This window comes from Homo sapiens, chromosome 2 (assembly GCF_000001405.40).
Source record: "Homo sapiens chromosome 2, GRCh38.p14 Primary Assembly".
In the NCBI taxonomy this organism is placed as follows: Eukaryota; Metazoa; Chordata; class Mammalia; order Primates; family Hominidae; genus Homo; species Homo sapiens.
This window is the reverse complement of record NC_000002.12, coordinates 108,585,122-108,605,008: the sequence shown is the minus strand read 5'-3', so window position 1 is coordinate 108,605,008 and position 19,887 is coordinate 108,585,122. Positions and strand designations below refer to the sequence as shown.

Genomic DNA, 19,887 nt, shown 5'->3' with positions numbered 1-19,887 from the left:
CTGGCCCTTCCAGATTCTCAAGAGGGAGCAAGCTTCAGTATCCTGTTCAGACTCACAAGGTGGGGAATCATCAGACAACTGGATTCCAGTGAAAAAGGAACTATGTGGCATTAATCCCTGACCCATCAATCCTTCCTGCAGGTAAATTGCTCTTACCTGGCGGAGATCAAATTTCAGACTACCAAGTGCTCTGTACAGTTGAGATGCTGCCTTACTGTCTGTCCAACAGACTCTACTCCTGCTGGTCCCCTGTTTCATCCTTCATCCAACTCAGAGGAGCAGGGGCAGTGGGGGTGGTCTTAGACAACTCTCTAGTGCTCTTCCAGGACAGAAAGAACGGAAGCTAACTAATGCTAGTTACAAGAAACCCATCTTGAGGAAGGGGGATGAGGAGCAAGACTTGTTTTAAGGTAATTAAAATATGTTAATATCCAGTCATTTCTATTAGAACAAAATTTAATTTGAGAGGCTAAGGATAAAAGATCTGAATGCAGTAACCGTCTAAAATTTGAAAATGTTAAGTTTTCAAAAATTGCTACAACTCCTCTATGGCACGAATCATCAAACTTCTGTAAAAGGCCAGATAGTAAATATTTTAGGCCTTGCAGGCTATAAAGTCTTTGTGGTGACTAGTCAACCCTGCCCTCGTGGTTCAAAAGCAGCCACAAACAATAGTAAAGAAGTAAATGTGGCTGTGTCCCAAGAAAACTTTAGTTATGAACACTGAAATTTGAATTTCATATAATTTTCATATCATCCTTTTATTTTTTTCTCAACCATTAAAAAAGGTCAAAATATTCTTAGCTCACACGCTGTAAAAAAAATAGGAGGCCAGAATAAAACTAGAAATAAATAACAAGAGGAATTTTGGAAACTATATAAATACATGGAAAGGAAACAATATGCTCCTGAATGACTAGTGGGCCAGTGAAGAAATTAAGGAAAATGAAAAATTTCTTGAAACACATGATAATGGAAACATAACATACTAAAACCTATGAGATATAGGGAAAGCAGTACTAATAGGGAGGTTTATAGCTCTAAATGTCTACATCAACAACAAAAAACCCTTCAAATAAATAACCTAACAATGCATCTTAAGGAACTAGAAAGGCAAGAGCAAACCAAATCCAAAATTAATAATAGAAGAAAAGAAATAATAAAGTTCAATAAAAAGTTTTTTTAAAAAGTTAAACAAAATTGATAAACCTTTAGTCAGACTGAGAAAAATAGAGGACCTAAATAAATAAAATCAGAGATTAAAAGGAGGCCAGGCATGGTGGCTCACAGTACTTTGGGAGGCCAAAGCAGGCAGATCATTTGAGGTCAGGAGCTCAAGACCAGCCTGACCAAGAGCTAAAACTCTGTCAAATGTAATCCCAGCTAGCCAGGAGGCTGAGGCAGGAGAATCACTTGAACCCAGGAGGTGGAGGTTGTAGTGAGCCAAGATAACTCCAGCCTAGGTGACAGAGCAAGACTCTGTCTCAAGTGGAAAAAAAAAAAAAAAAAAAAAGGCGATGAAAAGGAGACATTACAACTGATACTGCAGAAATTCAAAGGATCATTAGTGGCTACTATGAGCAACTATATGCCAATAAATCGGAAAATCTAGAAGGAATGGAAAAATTCCTAGATACATACAACCTACCAAGATTGAATCATGAAGAAATCCAAAACCTGAACAGACCAATAACAAGTAACGAGATCAAAGCCATAATAAAAAGTCTCCCAGTAAAGAAAAGGCCAGGACCTGACGGCTTCACTGCTGAATTATACCAGACATTTAAAGAAGAACTACTACTAATCCTACTGAAACTATTCTGAAAAATAGAGGAGAGGGGAATACTTCCAAACTCATTCTACAAGGCCAGTGTTACCCTGATAACAAAACCAGAAAAAGACACATCGAAAAAAAGAAAACCTGGTCAGGCGAGTGGCTCGTGCCTGTAAATCTCAGCATTTTGGGAGGCCAAGGCAGGCAGATCATTTGAACCCAGGTGTTCCAGACCAGCCTGGCTGGGTACCATGACGAAACCCTAAAAATACAAATAAGTCCCTGCAAAAAAATACAAAAAATTAGCCAGGCATGGTGGCACATGCCTATACTCCCAGCTGCTCAGGAGGATGAGATGGGAGGATTGCTTGAACTCAGTAGGTTGAGGTTTCAGTGAACCATGATTGCACTACTCACTCCAGCCTGGGTGACACAGCAAGACCCTGTCTCAATAACAAAAATAATAATAAAAGAAAACTACAGGTCAATATCTCTGATGAATTTTGATGCAAAATTCTTCAACAAAATACTACAAAACAGAATTCAACAACACAATCATTCATTATAATCAAGTGGGATTTATCCCTAGGATGCAAGGATGGTTCAACACATGCAAATCAATCAGTGTGATAAATCAATCAATGTGATACATCATATCAACAGAATGAAGGATAAAAACCTTATGATCATTTCAACTGATGCTAAAAAAGCATTTGATAAAATTTGACATCACTTCATGATTTTAAAAAACCCTCAAAAAACTGGGTATAAAAGCATACCTCAACATAATAAAAGCCATGTATGACAGACCTACAGCTAGTATCATACTGCGGGGAAAAACTGAAAGCCTTTGCTCTAAAATCTGGAACACGACAAGGATGCCCACTTTCACCACTGTTATCAACACAGTACTGGAAGTGCTAGCTAGGGCAATCAGAGAAGAGAAATAAAGGGCATCCAAATTGGAAAGAAGTCTTCAAATTATCCTTGTTTGCAGATGATATGATTTTATATTTGGAAAAACCTAAGGACTTCACCAAAAAACTATTAGAGTTGATAAATTCAGTAAAGTTGGAGTACACAAAATCAACATACAAAAGTCAGTACCATTTCTATATGCCAATAGTGAATGACCTGAAAAAGAAATTTAAAAAGTACTCCCATTTACAATAGACACAAATAAAATAAAATACCCAGGAATTAATTTAACCGAAGAAGTGAAACATCTCTACAATGAAAACTATAAAACACTGATAAAGAAAATTGAATAGAACACCAAAAAATGGAAAGACATTCCATGGGTTGAAAGAATCAATATTGTTAATATGTCCATACTACTCAAAGCAATTTATAGATTCAATAAAATCCTTATCAAAATACCAATGACATTCTTCACAGAAATAGAATAAACAATTCTAGGCTGGGTGCAGTGGCTCACACCTATAATCCCAGCACTCTGGGAGGCCAAGGTGGGTGGATCACCTGAGTTCAGGAGTTCGAGACCAGCCTGGCCAACATGGCGAAACCCTGTCTCTACCAAAAATACAAAAATTAGCCAGGCATGTGTGTGGAGGAAAAGTTAAATATTAAATTTGAACTCAATTGAACATGGACACAAACAATGGTCACTAAGTCCTGAAACAGGTTGAGTGAGCCCCTTGAGGCATTCATCCATCGCTGTTTCAGAGAAATCTCTATTTCAATCTATTCTTACACGTTAGTTATTAAAAAACAATAGACAATCGCAAAAACAAGTTGTGACCTTTTTGTGTTCCTTAAGCCCAGTCACGAAGGGCACTCGTGACTGGGTCTCATGCCAAACAACTTGTTACGAAAACAGCTAGAGTCCCAGACTGCACCGAAACTTCATGAGACCTTCCCTCGCTGTGCACGGACAAGTGTCTGACTCTGGAGCCCAGGCTGTTGCTTCCCGGTCTGGTGATGAATCCTCCATAGTTTGGTGAGTGTAAGAAAATATATATATATATCTTTTCCCTTCTCCCCTTTTCATTGCAATTTGTTTATTATATCATTTGTTTATTATATCTGCATTGCCATTTACGTGGGATAAAGCTTGTTTACCCTTAAAGGTATTGTGTGTGTGTTTTTCTTCCCCCCTCAGGCATCTCCCGCACAGAACAGCATGGTGGCGGGTGCCTGTAATCCCAGCTACTCAGGAGGCTTGAGGCAGGAGAATCGCTTGAACCCAGGAGGCAGAAGTTGCAGTGAGCAGAGACTGCATCAGTGCACTCCAGCCTGGGTGACAGAGTAAGACTCTGTGAAAGAAAAGTGAAGAAAAAAGAGAAGAGAAGAGAAGAGAAGAGAAGAGAAGAGAAGAGAAGAACGAACAATTCTAAAATTTATGTGGATTCACAAAACAGCTGAATAGCCAAAGCTATCTTAAGCAAAAAGAACAAAACTGGGGGAATCACATTACTGGATTTCCAATTATACTGGAGAGCTATAGTAACCAAAACAGCATGGTATTGGCATAAAAACACACATATAGACCAATGGAACGGAATAGAGAACCCAGAAACAAAATCCACACACCTACAGTGAAGTCATTTTCCATAAAGGTGCCAAGAACGTACACTGAGGAAAAGACAGTCTCTTCAACAAATGGTGCTGGGAAAACTGAATATCCATAATGCAGAAGAATGAAACTAGACCCCTACCTCTCACCATAAACAAAAATCAAATCAAAATGAATTAAAGACTTAAATCTAAGATCTTAAACTATGAAACTAGTATAAGGAAATGTCTGGCAAACTCTCAAAGATATTGGTCTGGGCAAAAATTTATTGAATAATACCCCACAAGCACAGGCAACCAAAGCAAAAATGCACAAATGGGATCACATTAAGTTAAAAAGCTTCTGCAAGGCCAGGCGTGGTGGCTCATGCCTGTAATCCCAACACTTTGGGAGGCCGAGGTGGGCAGATCACCTGAGGTAAGGAGTTCAAGACCAGCCTGGCCAAAATGGTGAAACCCCATCTCTACTAAAAATACAAAAAATCAGCCGGGCGTGGTGGCGGGTGCCTGTAGCCCCAGCTACTCGGTAGGCTGGGGCAGGAGAATCGCTTGAGCCCAAAAGGCGGAGGTTGCAGTGAGCAGAGATTGCGTCACAGCACTCCAGCCTTGGCGACAGAGTGAGTGAGACTCCATCTCAAACGACAACAACAACAACAACAAAAACAACAAATACAGCTTCTGTACAGCAAAGGAAAACAGTCAACAAAGAGAAAAGACAACCACAGAATGGGAGAAGATATCTGCAAACTAACCATCTGACAAGGGGTTAATAACCAGAATATATAAGGGGCTTAAACAACTCTATAGTAAAAAAATCAAATATAATAATCTGATCAGAAAATGGGCAAAATATATGAAAAGATATTTCTCAAAAGAAAACGTACAAATGGCAAACAGGCCTATGAAAAGGTACTCAATACCACTGATCATCAGAGAAATGCAAATCAAAAGTACAATGAGATCTCATCTCGCCCCAGTTAAAATGGCTTATAACCAAAAGACAGGCAATAACAAATACTGGTGAGGATGTAGAGAAAAGGGAACCCTTGTACCCTGTTGGTGGAAATGTAAATGAGTACAATCACTGTGAAGAACAGTATGGAGGCTCTTCAAAAAACTAAAAATAGAGCTACCATAGGATCCAGCACTCCCACTGCTGGGGATATAAACTAAAGAAAGGAAATCAGTATATCAAAGAGATATCTGCAGCACTGATCACAATAGCCAAGATTTGGAAGGAACCTAAATGTCCATCAACAGATGAGTGGATAAAGAAAAAATGTGGTACTTATATACAATGGAGTATTATTCAGCCATAAAAAAGAATGAGATCCAGCCATTTGCAACAACATGGATGGGACTGGAGATCATTATGTCAAGTGAAATAAGCCAGGCACAGAAAGACAAACATCATTTGTTCTCACTTATTTTTGGGATCTAAAAATCAAAACAATTTAACTCATGGACACAGAGAGTAGAAAGATGATTACCAGAGGCTGTGAAGGGTAGTGGTGAGATGGGGAATGGGAAGGGAATGGTTAATGGGTACAAAAACATTAGTTAGAAAGAATGAATAAGACCTAGTATTTGATAGCACAACAGGGTGACTACAGTCAATAATAATTAGATTGGACATTTAAAAATAACTAAAATAATATAATTGGATTGTTTGTAACATAAAGAATAAATGCTTGAGGGGATAAATATCACCCCCCCAATAAAATAATTAAACAGAAACAGGAGGTAGATTTGGCCCACAGACTGAAGTTTAGAGACTCCTCCTTAATAGGAAGAACTAAATACCATATTGGACAAACTTAAACAAAATATCATTACTATAGAGCCTTGAGAAAACAGATTTTTCTTTATAAGATGCTAACTCCTTAAATGAAATAGTGGCCACCACAATTACTGAAGGAATACCTTAAAGACCCACACAACCACAGCTTTTTGAAAGACCAGGGCTACGTTTACAATGACAGGAGAAACAGACACAGCTTCCGTGTTGCCTGAACTGGCATAAACAACAGAAGAAATGAACAGTGTCAGACTGGCACACATCTGCCTGGCCAGGGCCTCATTCCCACACTCCGTCCGTTCTCCCAAAAGGATTCCCCACCCACCACCCCCCAGATGGCTAGTATCCAACCATCAGGGCTTAATCCTAAGCAAAATATCGAACTAGCTGTTTTCTTCTCACTGGCCTCATATCTGCAAAGCTAACCATCCGGCTGCCCTACCTTCAGCTTTCCTTCCAAACATAGTACTCCTCAGTCTCTCCTTCCTCCTAGCCTATACAAAGTCACAGTTTATGTTAATTTTATTAAAGCTATGTCAACAACAACAAAAAGTCTCAAATCACATCTAAGACATACCAGGTGACACAAATTCGTTTATAAATGAAAAAGTTTGGATAAAGTAGACATTTTTTTAGTTTACTATGAACTGATGATATACTGGCAAACTTACTAGATGGAGGGCTTTGAGCCAGCTACTTACACATCATGTCCTAATCTATGAAATAGCCCACGCTGCAGTTGTAGGGATGAGGGGTAAAGTTCATAAGCCACCCAGTGCACAGCCAACCACAGTGGGTGCTCATAATTGGTAGCTATTCCTAGGATGATGAGAAACAAGGATATATTAGAAAACATTCAGAATTCATCTGTAGAACAGGTGGGAGAAGGCTTTAAAAAAATAGCATTTCTGGCCAGGTGTGGTGGCTCACACCTGTAATCCCACCACTTTGGGAGGCTGAGGCGGGCGGATCACCAGGTCAGGAGTTCAAGACCAGCCTTGCCAACATAGTGAAACCCCGTCTCTACTAAAAAATACAAAAAATAGCCGGGTGTGGCAGCGGGCGCCTGTAATCCCAGCTATTCGGGAGGCTGAGGCAGGAGAATCACTTGAACCTAGGAGGCAGAGGTTGCAGTGAGCTGAGACTGCATCACTGCACTCCAGCCTGGGCAACATGCAAGACTCTGTCGCAAAAAAAAAAAAAAAAAAGCATTTTTGCTTGTATTATAGATAAGTGAAAAGGAGAAAAAAGAAACATGCACAAAGAAATTCTTTTAGTTATGCAGGTAGAGACAGTCTGTGTGTGTGCCTCTGTCTCTTTCACACAGACATACGTACAAGCAAGCACATACACAGGAACCTACAATGGCAACCTGCCGGAAAGAACTTGATGTTGTATGCTAGAAAACATCACCCTCTAGTGACTGCTAGTGTATTTGTTGCTTATTCAATTTATCAAGAATTCACAACATTTTAACTCTTCTATCCAAAAAAATGCTTTTAAAAAGTCTTCAGAAATGCAATCATCATTACAATCACGTGTTGCTGTGGCTGCACTGGGGGCATGAATTCCTGGAAGTTATACAAAAACTTTCTATGCATGTGCCTTTGTGCATTTTCTTCTATGAATGTCGTTAAGTGTTGAGTCTCAAAGTGGTCTGTGAATAAAAAAAAAGGTCAAATTAAGATGTTTTGACCAAGCACGGTGGCTCACATCTGTAATCTCAGCACTTTTGGAGGCTGAGGCAGGCAGATCACCTGAGGTCAGGAGTTCGAGATCAGCCTGGCCAACAAGGGGAAACTCCACTTCTACTAAAAATACAAAAATCAGCTGGGTGTGGTGGTACGTGCCTGTAATCCCAGCTTCTCGGGAGGCTGAGGCAGGAGAATCGTTTGAACCCAGGAGGCAGAAGTTGCAGTGAGCCAAGATCATGCCACTGCACCTCAGCAACAGAGCAAGACTCAAAAAAAAAAAAAAAAAAAAAAACAGATGTTTCGTAGGGAAATTAATGAACCATCCCAAGTACTTCAAGTTCCTATTTCCTCAACATGCCCCCCTCCTTTTTATTTTTATTTTTTTTTGAGACGGAGTTTTGCTCTTGTTGTCCAGGCTGTGCAATGGCGTGATCTCGGTTCACAGCAACCTCTGCCTCCCAGGTTCAAGCGATTCTCCTGCTTCAGCCTCCTGAGTAGCTGGGATTACAGGCATGCACCACCACGCCTGGCTAATTTTGTATTTTTAGTTGAGATGAGGTTTCTCCATGTTGATCAGGCTGGTCTCAAACTCCTGACCTCAGGTGATCTGCCCATCTTGGCCTCCCAAAGTGCTAGGATTACAGGCGTGTGCCATGCCCGGCCAACATGCCCTTTCTTTACATACATCCCTAATGGGGAAAGTAAAATCTGAGACCTAACTGAATTCCATTGATCTGTTCTGTAAATCATTTTACATTTATGTTAATCTTCCAAAAAGTGTGCTCCCATTTTCCTCACCTCTTATTTTTAAAATGTTATCATATATAACACCAGACTCCTGAGCCACCCTCTGGCTTTTCTGCCCCTTCCACAGCTACAGCTCATCTTCCACGGACCCTTTCATTTCCTCCTTTGGAAATTAAAGACAGCACATGCTCATTTATCTCACACTCTTTTGTAAGAATTACAAATTAACTCGTATTAATACTAAGAGTATTAATTATCGCTAATTAGAAATAAGCTGAGAAAGATAAAGTACTATACAAATGTTGGCCGCTGAATGGCTACAGGGACACATGAAGTCAAAACAGTATCAGGTCTTTCTATGTCTGCGGCAGAATGCCAAAGCCCTGACACACATCCTTTTAGCAGCTTTAAGTCACTTCTGCAAGTGAATACTAGGAGATCGTCCCTTACTCCTGATCTTTGCTCTCAGGGGGCCACTTCAGCATAAGCCTTCCACCCTCCACAGATAACCTCAGGTTCTCCTCAAGCCTCTAGATCTTATTTCACATTTTATCATAGGTGCAACTTCTTGTGTACTTAACACTGTTGAACTGTTGAGTTTAAAAATGATTAAGGTGGTAGATTTTATGTGTTTTTTACCACAATAAAAAAAAGAGGCTCCAAACGAGCTGCAAAATGAGGGCCCTAAAAGATTATAAAGGACTCTAATTCTAATGTTTTTCATTTTTCAGATGAAGGAACAGAATGAAAGTCCCACAGTTGAGAGCCAAGAACAGGACCTGGGGGGTACACTGATTCCTAGTACACAGTTGACTACAGAACAACAACAACAACAACAAAATAAACCAAGTACAATGGGAAAAACTGAAGAAAATAGTTAAGTGGGACAAAGGCAACAAAGTAGGCAGAATCACAAGAAGAAAGAAGACCAAGGGAAAATTTCAAGAACATTTTTTAAAGTAAGAAAGCATGGAAGAAATGACTGAATATTATAAATATAGGATGGTCCCTGTTTTGCTGGAATAGCAGTCTGAAACCATCATTTATCTTGGTCTGGGTGGAGCTGAGGTCTGGGAATTCCCATATAAGGTAGTTTGTTCATGCTTACTTCCTCAAGCACACATTACACCTCCTCATCTGAAAAAGGCACTGGAAGAAAAGATTCTTTGGGAATGACATCCACACATACATTAAAGGCTGTGGTTTCCACTCCTAATGGTTAGTAGATTTGCCAAGACACAGCATCCTCGCAACCCCCACCCAAATACGGTTCAGCATCTAGCAGTCAACACCACAGGGCCTTCCTGTGGTCACGACTGGCAGTGGTGATAAAGGTCGGTATGACCTTACTGCTCTCCATAAATAGCCCTTCAGTCAGTAATGTCCTTGCATGATATGGTCACATTCTTTCAAGAGCAGCCCTGCTTTTATGTATGGTACCTTCCTTCCACAGAGCTTTCCATCTCAGGTGAAGCTGCTTTCTTGCCCCACCATAATTCCTCTCAATGACTTCAAAGCAGGGCCTCTACATTCGATTTTTTTTTAGGATGAGTCTGTCTACCTTTTTTTTAGAGCTATGCTGTCTACTTTGGTAGCCAGTAGTCACATGTAGCAACTTGAAATGTGGCTAGTCTGAATTCAGATGGACTTTAAAGTACCCACTGAATTCTCCTGGTAACTTTAAAATGCTGATGACATGATATGTATATAGCTTGGACATGATGACAGTTTGATATACTGGGTTAAATTAAACATATTATTAAAATTAATCTTCCCTATCTCTTTTTTCCTGTTTTAAATGGCTACTAGAAAATCTTAAAACTACACATGCTGCTTACATTGTATTTCTACAGGATAGCACCATTCTAGATAGTATAATAAGCCCTGCTTATTGAATACGCTCAGTAGAAAGAAACCCTGGAATCCTTTCATTTCAAACGATCTCCTGTCGGCCAGCCAACTTTCTTCATTTGCAGGTGAGATTCTTCATCTGTAATGTAGACAAAATAAACCCCCCTCACAGACTGGTAAGGACTGAGAACACAAAGAAAGCATTTTAAGCGTTCAGCAACACTAAATGTGTTCTCAGTAAATGTCACTTCCCTTTCTGTGGGTGCATTCAGTAGCTGGTTTAGTCATCTTGGGGTTAGTCATGGAACGTCTGGATTCCAACCCTCTTTGTTCCTTTTTCTCCACTCTAATCACTTCCACAGAATTCACCATAACTTAGAGGGCAGGGGTCTGTGGTGAACTTTCTAAGCAAAAGCTACCCCTTCCCCACAGCTGAATTTTTTACTCCTACCACTTGTCGACCATATCCTTCCCACCTCTTCTCTGCTGGTGCATTCATTAATAAATTATTAAAATTAATCTCAAAATTCTGGCTGCTGCTCATTTTCTCCTTTGGGCTGTTACCAGTAGCTCACTGCTATTGTCTGAATTTAAAGGGAGCTTTGTTACTATTCTAGCTATTTCATGTGTGAACACTTCCTTCCCCTCAAGTGCATGGATATCCTTTACTTACCACTAGGGTCTCACCAGATATGTAATGACTGAAGGATTCTACAATGGTCCTAGAAATAAGTAAAATAAAACTGAATGTTGACTTTTAATTACTGACCAGGCCAATCAGGATTACAGGAATGAAAAGTACCTTTTATGACTAAGAAATCACATCTGACTTGGCAGTCTGGTGTTATTTCTGGCTGGTTTATCTGTGGAAAATTCACTTTATGATTTCTTCCCAGCTGTTGCTAGCAGTGTGCTAGGCTGGCAGCCCTAAGAGTTGAATCATCCCCATGGATGATACTATTTTCTCCTTCCCCACCCAACCTTTCCCAGATACTTGGCATTTTTTAGTATTATACAGGTGCTAATTGTTCTGAAAGTCTGGCTTAAATTAAAGTTTATTGTAAATTGACGTAATCTAGCATCTGGATATCATTCTGTGTCTATGTCCCTTTTCACAAAGACAGCAACTCCAGGTCTGGGTAGGCTTGAGAGTGGGGATGGAGAAGTAACTCCGGCAAGACCTTTTCCCCAGCATTCCTTTATAGAAGGCAGGCGGTGAGAAGGAAAGAATTAGTGAGGGAAAGAAAAGGCAATCGAAGGGGAGAAGATTTAAGAAAGAAAAAAGCAAAAGAAAGAGAAGAATGGCTTTTTTCACAGTAGAAGTCACACAGTGGGAGGCTTGGATAAGGTTTAGATATGTTTGGAAGTAGAGAAAAACCATGAGACTATCAGGCACTAAAGTGAATTTAGTTGCTTTCAAACCCTGAACTCTAGTAATTCTGGATCTTAAAGGAGATATGCATAAATGATGCAGAGTAAACTAAAAAACAAAAGCAGAGAATGATTGGAAGTCCCTCAAAAAGCTAAACATAGAATTACCACATGACCCAGCAATTCCAGTTCTGGGTATATATCCAAAAGAATTGAAAACAAGGATGCAAACAGGTATGTGTACACCCATGTTTACAGCAGCATTATTCACAATATCCAAGGTATGGAAACAACCCAAGTGTCCTCCACAACTGAATGTTATATACATTTTACTATTAATACAATAAAAAGGGGAACATTTGTTGTTCACCTAGATCCCACCAAATATCAAGCTAGGATCCTTTTACATACACTACTCACAGATTAAATACTATTGCCATTTACAGATGAGGAATCTGCAACTCAGATATTAAATAATTTGTTCAAAATCACACAAATGGCAGAAGTAAAATTTAAACCCAAGGTCTTTCAACTTACACCACAGTATTTCAAGGATAAATAGGCTCAATGAATAAAGAACAAGTGAGAAAAGTATACGCTCCTTATGGTCTGAAACTGTTAAATAAGTGACAAGAAAGACCATAAACAGCTGAACCCGAAGAACTTGGTAGTCTAAATGTCTTCCCAGGCTGCAAACAAACTTTCTTTCAGCATAGCACATTTTAAAGCCCTATAAGGGAATCTCTGCCTGTTCTCCACACACCCCCCTCCCACACACAAAAATTGGTATAAGTTATTTTTCAATTTTTTTAGATTCTGTATTATATGTCCCATCTGGGCTGATAAAGTATCCTTTTCTCCCAACAATATTATCATACATTTGTGGCAACATTTGGGGTATAAAATACCTCCCCACCTGCCACTTCACTTATTTTAATCAAGCACTCTACAGGACATCAACATTTCATCCTGTAACTGTTCTGACAAACTGCGCCTCAGAAGTGACACACCGACTCAGAGCTAAAACACTGCTCCTGTATACCTCCTTCTCCTGGAACTAATGGGTCAATCAACATATGGCTAACTTTTGGGCAAGACCCAATTTAAAATCACTGTAAGTCCCCGCATGAAAAAAACAAAACTAGGCTGGGCGTGGTGGCTCACACCTGTAATCCAAGCACTTTGGGAGGCCGAGGCACGTGGATCACCTGAGGTCAGGAGTTCGAGACCAGCCTGGCCAATATGGTGAAACTTCGTCTCTACCAAAGATACAAAAATTAGCCGGGCATGGTGGTGCGTGCCTGTAATTCCAGCTACTTGGGAGGCTGAGACAGAAGAATCACTTGAACCTGGGAGGCGGAGGTTGCAGTGAGCTGTGATCATGCCACTGCACTCCAGCCTGGATGACAGGGCGAGACTCTGTCTCAAAAAAAAAAACAAAAAAAAAAACTAAAAACATTTTTAAAAGTTCCCTTAAAAGGCCAAGCATGGTGGCTCAAGTCTGTAATCTCAGCATGTTGAGAGGCCAAGGCAGGAAGATCTCTTGAGGCCAGGAGTTCAAGACAAGCCTGGGCAACACAGTGAGACTCTGTTTTTATAAAAATTTTAAAAATTAGCCAGGCATGGTGGTGTGTGCCTGTAGTCACAGCTATTTGGGAGGCGGGAGCAGGAGAATTTCTTGAGCCCAGGAGGTCAAGGCTGCAGTGAGCCATGATCGTGCCACTGTACTGTAGCCTGGGTGACAGAGCAAGACCTTGTCAATCAATCAATTTTTTTTTAAAAAAAGTTTCACTGAAGGCTTCCTCTTTTTTCTGGGAACTTGCGGAACTACTGACATCAAGAAACTATCAATGAGACTTCAGACTCCTTCCCACGCCTCTGACAACGCCCAGGTTCAGGCCCCACCGCATCATTTGCTCAGTCCTTTGCTACAGGATGTTCACACATCTGGCATTACCCATGGAAACCATTTCTCAGTCACCTTTGTGTCCCCAGAACCTAACACAGTGCTTAGCATGGGGCAACCACTCAAATGTCAACTGAATGAAAGACCCACTGACACATCCTTTCGTATGGTATTGCTATCTTGCTCTTTAGTCCTTCTAATCCATTCTCTACACTGTAATATTAGCAAACACTTCACTGCAACATCACAGATGCTTCCCTAATGTCCCCAAACTTTACACTGCCCTCAAGACCAATACTCCACATACACCCTCCCTCCCTGCCATTCTTATCCTTCAAACATTCCAGCACAGTAGATAATTTTTGAATTTCTTTCATTCATTCAACATTTATTTACTGAGCACTTACTGCTCTGGGCACTGGGAATACAGAGGTGAACAAGAGGAAACAAAGCCCCTGTTTAACAAATCTTCCAGGCTAAAGCGGAAAACACAGCACAGAAAGGAATAGGGCAGGGGGTAGATCCAGAAAGCACTTGCAGCCCAGCATAAAAACTGGATGTTATTCTAGGTGAGATGGAAAGGCAATGGAGGACTCTGAAGAGAGAAGTAACACTGACCTGCAAACCTTTGCTCGAGCTGTTGCCAACTGTGCCTAGAACAACACTCTTTTCCATCATTTGTCAAATTCTTCAAAGCCCAACTCAAAAGTCACTACCTCCATGGTGCCGTCTCTTAGAATTGAAGGGGGTTCCCCGCTCTTTTTGGTTAGCCTCAAAAACTTGACACTACCTGTGATGGCCTGATGTTTAGTTATTTTTGTATATTTTTTAAACTACCACCAAGTGTTTATGTTCATTCAGAATATTTTATTCTATTTTCATTCTATCAGCTATGCAAAGTGCCTTGTTGTTTGCAAACTAAAAAGCATGTACCCTTTTTATCAACTAAAAGACCAAATTAAAATGATCATCCTCTTTTTAATGTTTTCTTTCTTATCCATGAAAAATACTTGTGTTCTCCTGTTCATTATAACTATTCCTTATTTCCTGATTATGTATGTGAATGTACATATATACACACGTGTACATACACACAACATACATCTATATAAGAGACTGCCTTACACATGCAATCGGTATCACTCTTAATGTTCTTGAAGGTTAACTGTAAAATCAATGCTTTTGCAAATACATTTAAATCTCTAGGAAGTCCACTGTATAAGGCAAGTCATGTAGTAAAGCAAAAGATTCTTCTGTGGGTAAATAATCACCCCTTAATAAATGTTTTCCAAATGTAGGTCTGAGGCATTACAGTTCCTTTAAGAGTGGCCTGCTGGGGGAAATTCCACCCAACAGCAACAGAATACATATTCTTCTCAAGTGCACATGGAACATTCTCCAGGACAGGTCAAGAAGGCTGAAATTACATCACGTATCTTTTCTGATCACAATGGTATGAAACTAGAATAGTTTCTAAAGTAACAGGAGGACATGGAAAATTAACAAATATGTGGAAATTAAACAATATGCTCCTAAACAACTATCGAGATAAAGAAAAAATTAAAGGGGAAATTAAAGAAGAAAATAAAGGAGATATATAAAAAAATCTTGTGACAAATGAAGATGGAAATACAACATACTAAAACTTATGGGATGCAGCAAAAGTTAGTGCTAACAGGGAAGTTTACAGCAATAGACACCTACTTCAAAAAAGAAAGATCTCAAATAACAGCCTAATATTACACCTCATGGAACTAGAAAAATAACAAACTAGGCCCAATGTTAGCAGGAGGAAGGAAATAACAAAGATCAGAACAGAAGTAAATGAAAAAGAGACTAGAAAAACAACAGAATCAATGAAACTAAGAGTTTGTCAACAGGTACAAAATTAGGAAGAGTAAGTTCTGGTGATCTATTGTACAGCAAAGTGATTATAATTAATAATACTGTATTGTATATCTCAAAATACCTCAAGAGGATTTTAAGTGTTGTTACCACGAAAAAGTGATATTTGAGATGATTGATAGGCTAATTACCCTGATTTGGTCATTGTACAATGTACATATGAACCAAAATATCACATTGTACTCCATAAATAAATGTGCCAATTAAAAATAAAACTTAAAAAAATGACCAGTTTTTTTTTTTTAAACAGCGTTTTACATGTTAATGAATAAGAGTAACTCCTTACTTAGTTATAGCTGCTTTCTTCTTACCATGACAGGACAAAAGTTCACTAAACATATTGCTAAATAGTACATTTCCCCACCAAAGACCCTAGGCAGCAGAAATAATGTTTTAAAAAATTAATGTAATAAAATGCCAAAAGCATTACTAAGGTCTTTTATAGAAGGCTCTGCAGGATATAAACCATATGACACTAAATACTGTTTATCAATTGTTTTTAAATTTTTCTTTGCAAACAAAAGGCATAGTTTCCCTTCCACACCCACCCTACTTTGAAACCAATAAAACAAAGTTTTCACATATTTCAATAATTAAATACACATCTACAAGATATAAGAACCACAATCATAACCTCTGCAGCAGGGAGAAAATTTTAATCAGCATGGCTGAAGGTTACTACAACTCACCCAAGACCCTTTCTGCATAGAGAGTTTCAACAAATATCCTTTAGATTTGCTTCTTAAATAACTGAGAAAGGTAGGTCATAAGGAAAACAAATCCAGAAATACAACAATACCCTGTGTTTGGCTGATTTAGGCAATCATGTCCATTTCTTCTCTTAAACTTCTCTCAAACTTCCACTCCTTTGCCTTAGTCACTTTACACACACAGGCCCAGTTCTGCAAACCTACGCACTCTACCTGAGCCACCTCCAGCTCCCCTTCTCTTAATTCAAGAGTAAAGAACCTCCCTCCTGGCTCCTACTCTTATTTAACTTACTTATCAGGGCTTGGGAGGCCAGTTTCACATCACTGCGAATTATCTTTGAAAGCCTCTATTTCCTAAACTGTACAGAACTTCCTCATCTTAGCTTTGTCTCTGTTGTCTTGAACTATATTTGAGCCAATGAAACCAAGTTCAGGGTTTTTTTTTTTCCTGTATTTAGTCAAATCATGTGACATGGTGTGTTACACGATAACCCCACTGTTCTGAAGCAATAGGACAACACCCCTAAATGTCATAACTCATATCCTGCTAAGTTGTTTTATATACTTTATGAAGTTAAGAAATTCACCCAAAAACTTACTGAAAGCACATATAACATGCAGACAAATATTTAGAAAAATGAATAACTGATCATCATAGAAAGAGGTAACTTTAAAAAAATGATAGCCTCTGGCCCTCTGGATCTCTATAATAACTACATGTTTGAATTAACGGAGCTTCTTTATGTGCCCTCTGAATGCTACTCTGGGGTCAAGCAGCTACTCTACACTACATCTTCCGGTGGCAAGGTGCAGGCCAGCTTAGGGACGGGCACGCCAGGCTCTGGCTGCCCCAGCAGCGGAAATTATTCTTTCTGTCCCAGATATCCCTGACAGACACAGTGCAGAAGCAGCAAGGCCAGTGGTGCTAAGGCCTCACATATCCGACTGAGTCACCTCCTGGGACTCCTCAGTGCCAAGTTTCCACTGGAGAATAAAGGGATCTAATTTAGTTGAAGGTAAGAAAGAACTTGAGAGCAATTAATTCAGCCTTCCCCTTCCATGAATGAGGGTGTCCTTGCCTGAATTCACTGAAAATACAGCAAGAAAGCTCCTTTACCCAATTCCTTTATTATAGAGGAATCATTTTTAGGATAACTGCATTTCTAGGATGGTAACATAACTAGGGCCTGAGGTTAATCTTTAAAAACAAGAAAACGGCCAGGTGCAGTGGCTTACACTTGCCTGTAATCTCAGTGCTCTGGGAGGCCGACATAGGAGATCACTTGAGCCCAGGAGTTCAGGCCCAGACTAGGCAACATAGGGAGACCATGTCTCTGAAAAAACAAAAACAAAAACATACCACCACAACAAACCAAACACACACACACACACACACACACACACACACACACACACACACACACACAAACCCCAAGAAAACAACTCATCACTTTTGCTTGTTATCCAACACTGAGACTGGGTACTAGCCACTCTTAGAGCTGGTGACAAGCTATAACCTGAGGGCACCCTGGCAGGTGACTATTTACAGGGAAGGGTTTAGTGCTTGAAAGAGTGGAAAAGCACATCCAAGACAAGCTAAAGGCAGAGGGAGTTCTAAAACTCAGGGTTCTGCCCAGCACTCCTGGGGGAACCTCACAGGCTTCACCTTCACGTACTCTGAAATCCAACGGTCCCAGCTAGTTTGGGAGCTCTCACACAATACTGAATGTAATAAAATTCCAGCCAGAATGTTTTTCTGGCTTTGATTTATTTACTTTATTTTGGGAGGTGGGAGTGGAAGGCAGATGGAAGCTGGAAGTGAAAAGGCTGCTTTCGAGTGGGAAGCAGTTCCCTCCCCCATTCCCAGCAGGGACAGTCCTATGTCATGGACATAAACCCCGGGAAGCAGCTGCGATCTCTCTTGGGAGAGGGAAAAGAGAATGGAAGTCTTCTGAGCTACAGCCCCAAAATACAAAATTCCCTCTAGGAAGGCAGCTCGTGATGCTGCAGTTAAAATCTAAAGGAAGGAAACTGGATGTTTTTCTGAGTCCCAGCAGAACATCCTGGGCAGACTGGCATTGTTGTTAACTTCTCTACTCATGGATGGGTCCCATCAACCCTCCTCTTGAAGCCATGCGCCACTCGCATAAGGACGTACCATGCTTGAAGGTCTTCTCGTAATCGACCTCATCCCTTTCTTCTCTCAGCAGATATTACTTTATTACTTATTCATGAAGAAAACAGTTTATCTGGAAAGTTCTCTTTCAACTACCTCCCACCTATATGCTTACTCTTCAGGCCTTCAGTCCCAACAAGGTCTGTTTGATGTCAGTCCATAAACTCACATCCAGACAGCCACTTTCCTTCTTTTTGGGCTCTTTCCCCCGAAGAGTTTGTAAATAGGCTCCAGTTTCTGCTACGTTAAAATGAGTCTATCTTGAGTCACTCTCCAGCTACCATCACAGCTCTCTCTTTTCAGACACCATTTTCTTTTTTTGTTTGTTTTTTTGTTTTTTTTTGTGTTTTGAGACGGAGTCTCGCTCTGTCGTCCAGGCTGGAGTGCAGTGGCGCAATCTCAGCTCACTGCAAGCTCCGCCTCCTGGGTTCACGCCATTCTCCTGCCTCAGCCCCCGGAGTAGCTGGGACTACAGGCACCCTCCACAACACCCGGCTAATTTTTTGTATTTTTAGTAAGATGGGGTTTCACCGTGTTAGCCAGGATGGTCTCGATCTCCTGACCTCATGATTCGCCTGCCTCGGCCTCCCAAAGTGCTGGGATTACAGGCATGAGCCACCACGCCCGGCCTCAGACACCATTTTCTAAAAGTTATCTCAACTCCTATTTACTCATCAACCTACTGCAATCTGGAAACACCTCTTACAGTCACAGCTCTTAAAAGCCAAATCCAGAAGGCATTTTTCAGTCCTTATCTTACATTTGACATTTTTAAATGATGCTTTCCTGGGAATTTTCTATTCCCTTGGCTTCCAGACCACCGTACTTTTATCCCTCTTGTCATCCCATCACCATCTCTTTTGCAAGAGCCTCTGCCTGGCTGTAGGTATGGCTACTCCCCAGCCTGACCTTGGCTTTCTGCTCCTCTCATTGCGCACATTCTCCCTGATGACTTCAACAAATCTCATGGCTCAACTACTTCCTCCCTGTTAGTGGCACTGGCTGGACCTTCTTAAACTTCGCAATCATACATCAAATTGTCTGCTGATGTCTCCATACAGATATCGTCACAGGCAACTCAAACTCATGATGCCTAAAATAAACTCCCCTCCCCACCATGCCTAAATCCAATTCTTCATCTTAATGTGCCCTCTCTCAGGCATGGCGACGTTATCCAAGCAGGCATGCCGCAGCCTCCTAGATGGAGTCCCTGTCTCCAGCCTGGTCCCCTTCAATCAAATCCAACAGACACAGCCAGCAAGCGGTCTAAGGAACCTGCTATCACTACCCTGCTTAAATTCTCTACTGCACTGAGGACAGTCAGCATCCCTTAAGGTAACACACAAAACCCTATATCGCCTGGCCCCGCCTTTTTTTTTTTTTTTTTTTTTGAGACGGAGTCATGCTCTGTTGCCCAGGC

General features: G+C 40.5%; 1 protein-coding gene across 10 annotated transcripts in view, besides 4 other annotated features; it reads right to left on the bottom strand.

The window, feature by feature from the left end:
• LIMS1 (LIM zinc finger domain containing 1) overlaps positions 1 to 19,887 on the bottom strand; it is a 153,576-nt gene that overhangs the window by 82,238 nt on the left and 51,451 nt on the right. For 2 of the 10 annotated variants that reach the window (NM_001394897.1, NM_004987.6), the window contains exon 1: positions 16,584 to 16,703. The exons of 7 other annotated variants lie outside the window; for them this stretch is intronic. The gene's annotated coding sequence lies outside the window, so the exon portion shown is untranslated. Of the gene's footprint in view, positions 1 to 16,380; positions 16,704 to 19,887 lie in introns of those variants that run through there. One more of the 10 variants, NM_001193488.2, reaches the window with a different exon arrangement.
• Positions 9,914 to 11,113: an enhancer, noted in NCBI's record as "CDK7 strongly-dependent group 2 enhancer chr2:109210352-109211551 (GRCh37/hg19 assembly coordinates)". NCBI's record gives its function as "activates an origin of replication core promoter dependent on BRD2, BRD4, P300/CBP, MED14 and CDK7 cofactors, with strong dependence on CDK7, by STARR-seq in HCT116 cells {active_cell/tissue: HCT116}" and the evidence as "EXISTENCE:reporter gene assay evidence [ECO:0000049][PMID:35650434]".
• Positions 10,563 to 10,612: a silencer, noted in NCBI's record as "silent region_11851". NCBI's record gives its function as "represses an Ori minimal core promoter by ATAC-STARR-seq in GM12878 lymphoblastoid cells {active_cell/tissue: GM12878}" and the evidence as "EXISTENCE:reporter gene assay evidence [ECO:0000049][PMID:35858748]".
• Positions 10,633 to 10,722: a silencer, noted in NCBI's record as "silent region_11850". NCBI's record gives its function as "represses an Ori minimal core promoter by ATAC-STARR-seq in GM12878 lymphoblastoid cells {active_cell/tissue: GM12878}" and the evidence as "EXISTENCE:reporter gene assay evidence [ECO:0000049][PMID:35858748]".
• Positions 16,708 to 16,787: an enhancer, noted in NCBI's record as "active region_16345". NCBI's record gives its function as "activates an Ori minimal core promoter by ATAC-STARR-seq in GM12878 lymphoblastoid cells {active_cell/tissue: GM12878}" and the evidence as "EXISTENCE:reporter gene assay evidence [ECO:0000049][PMID:35858748]".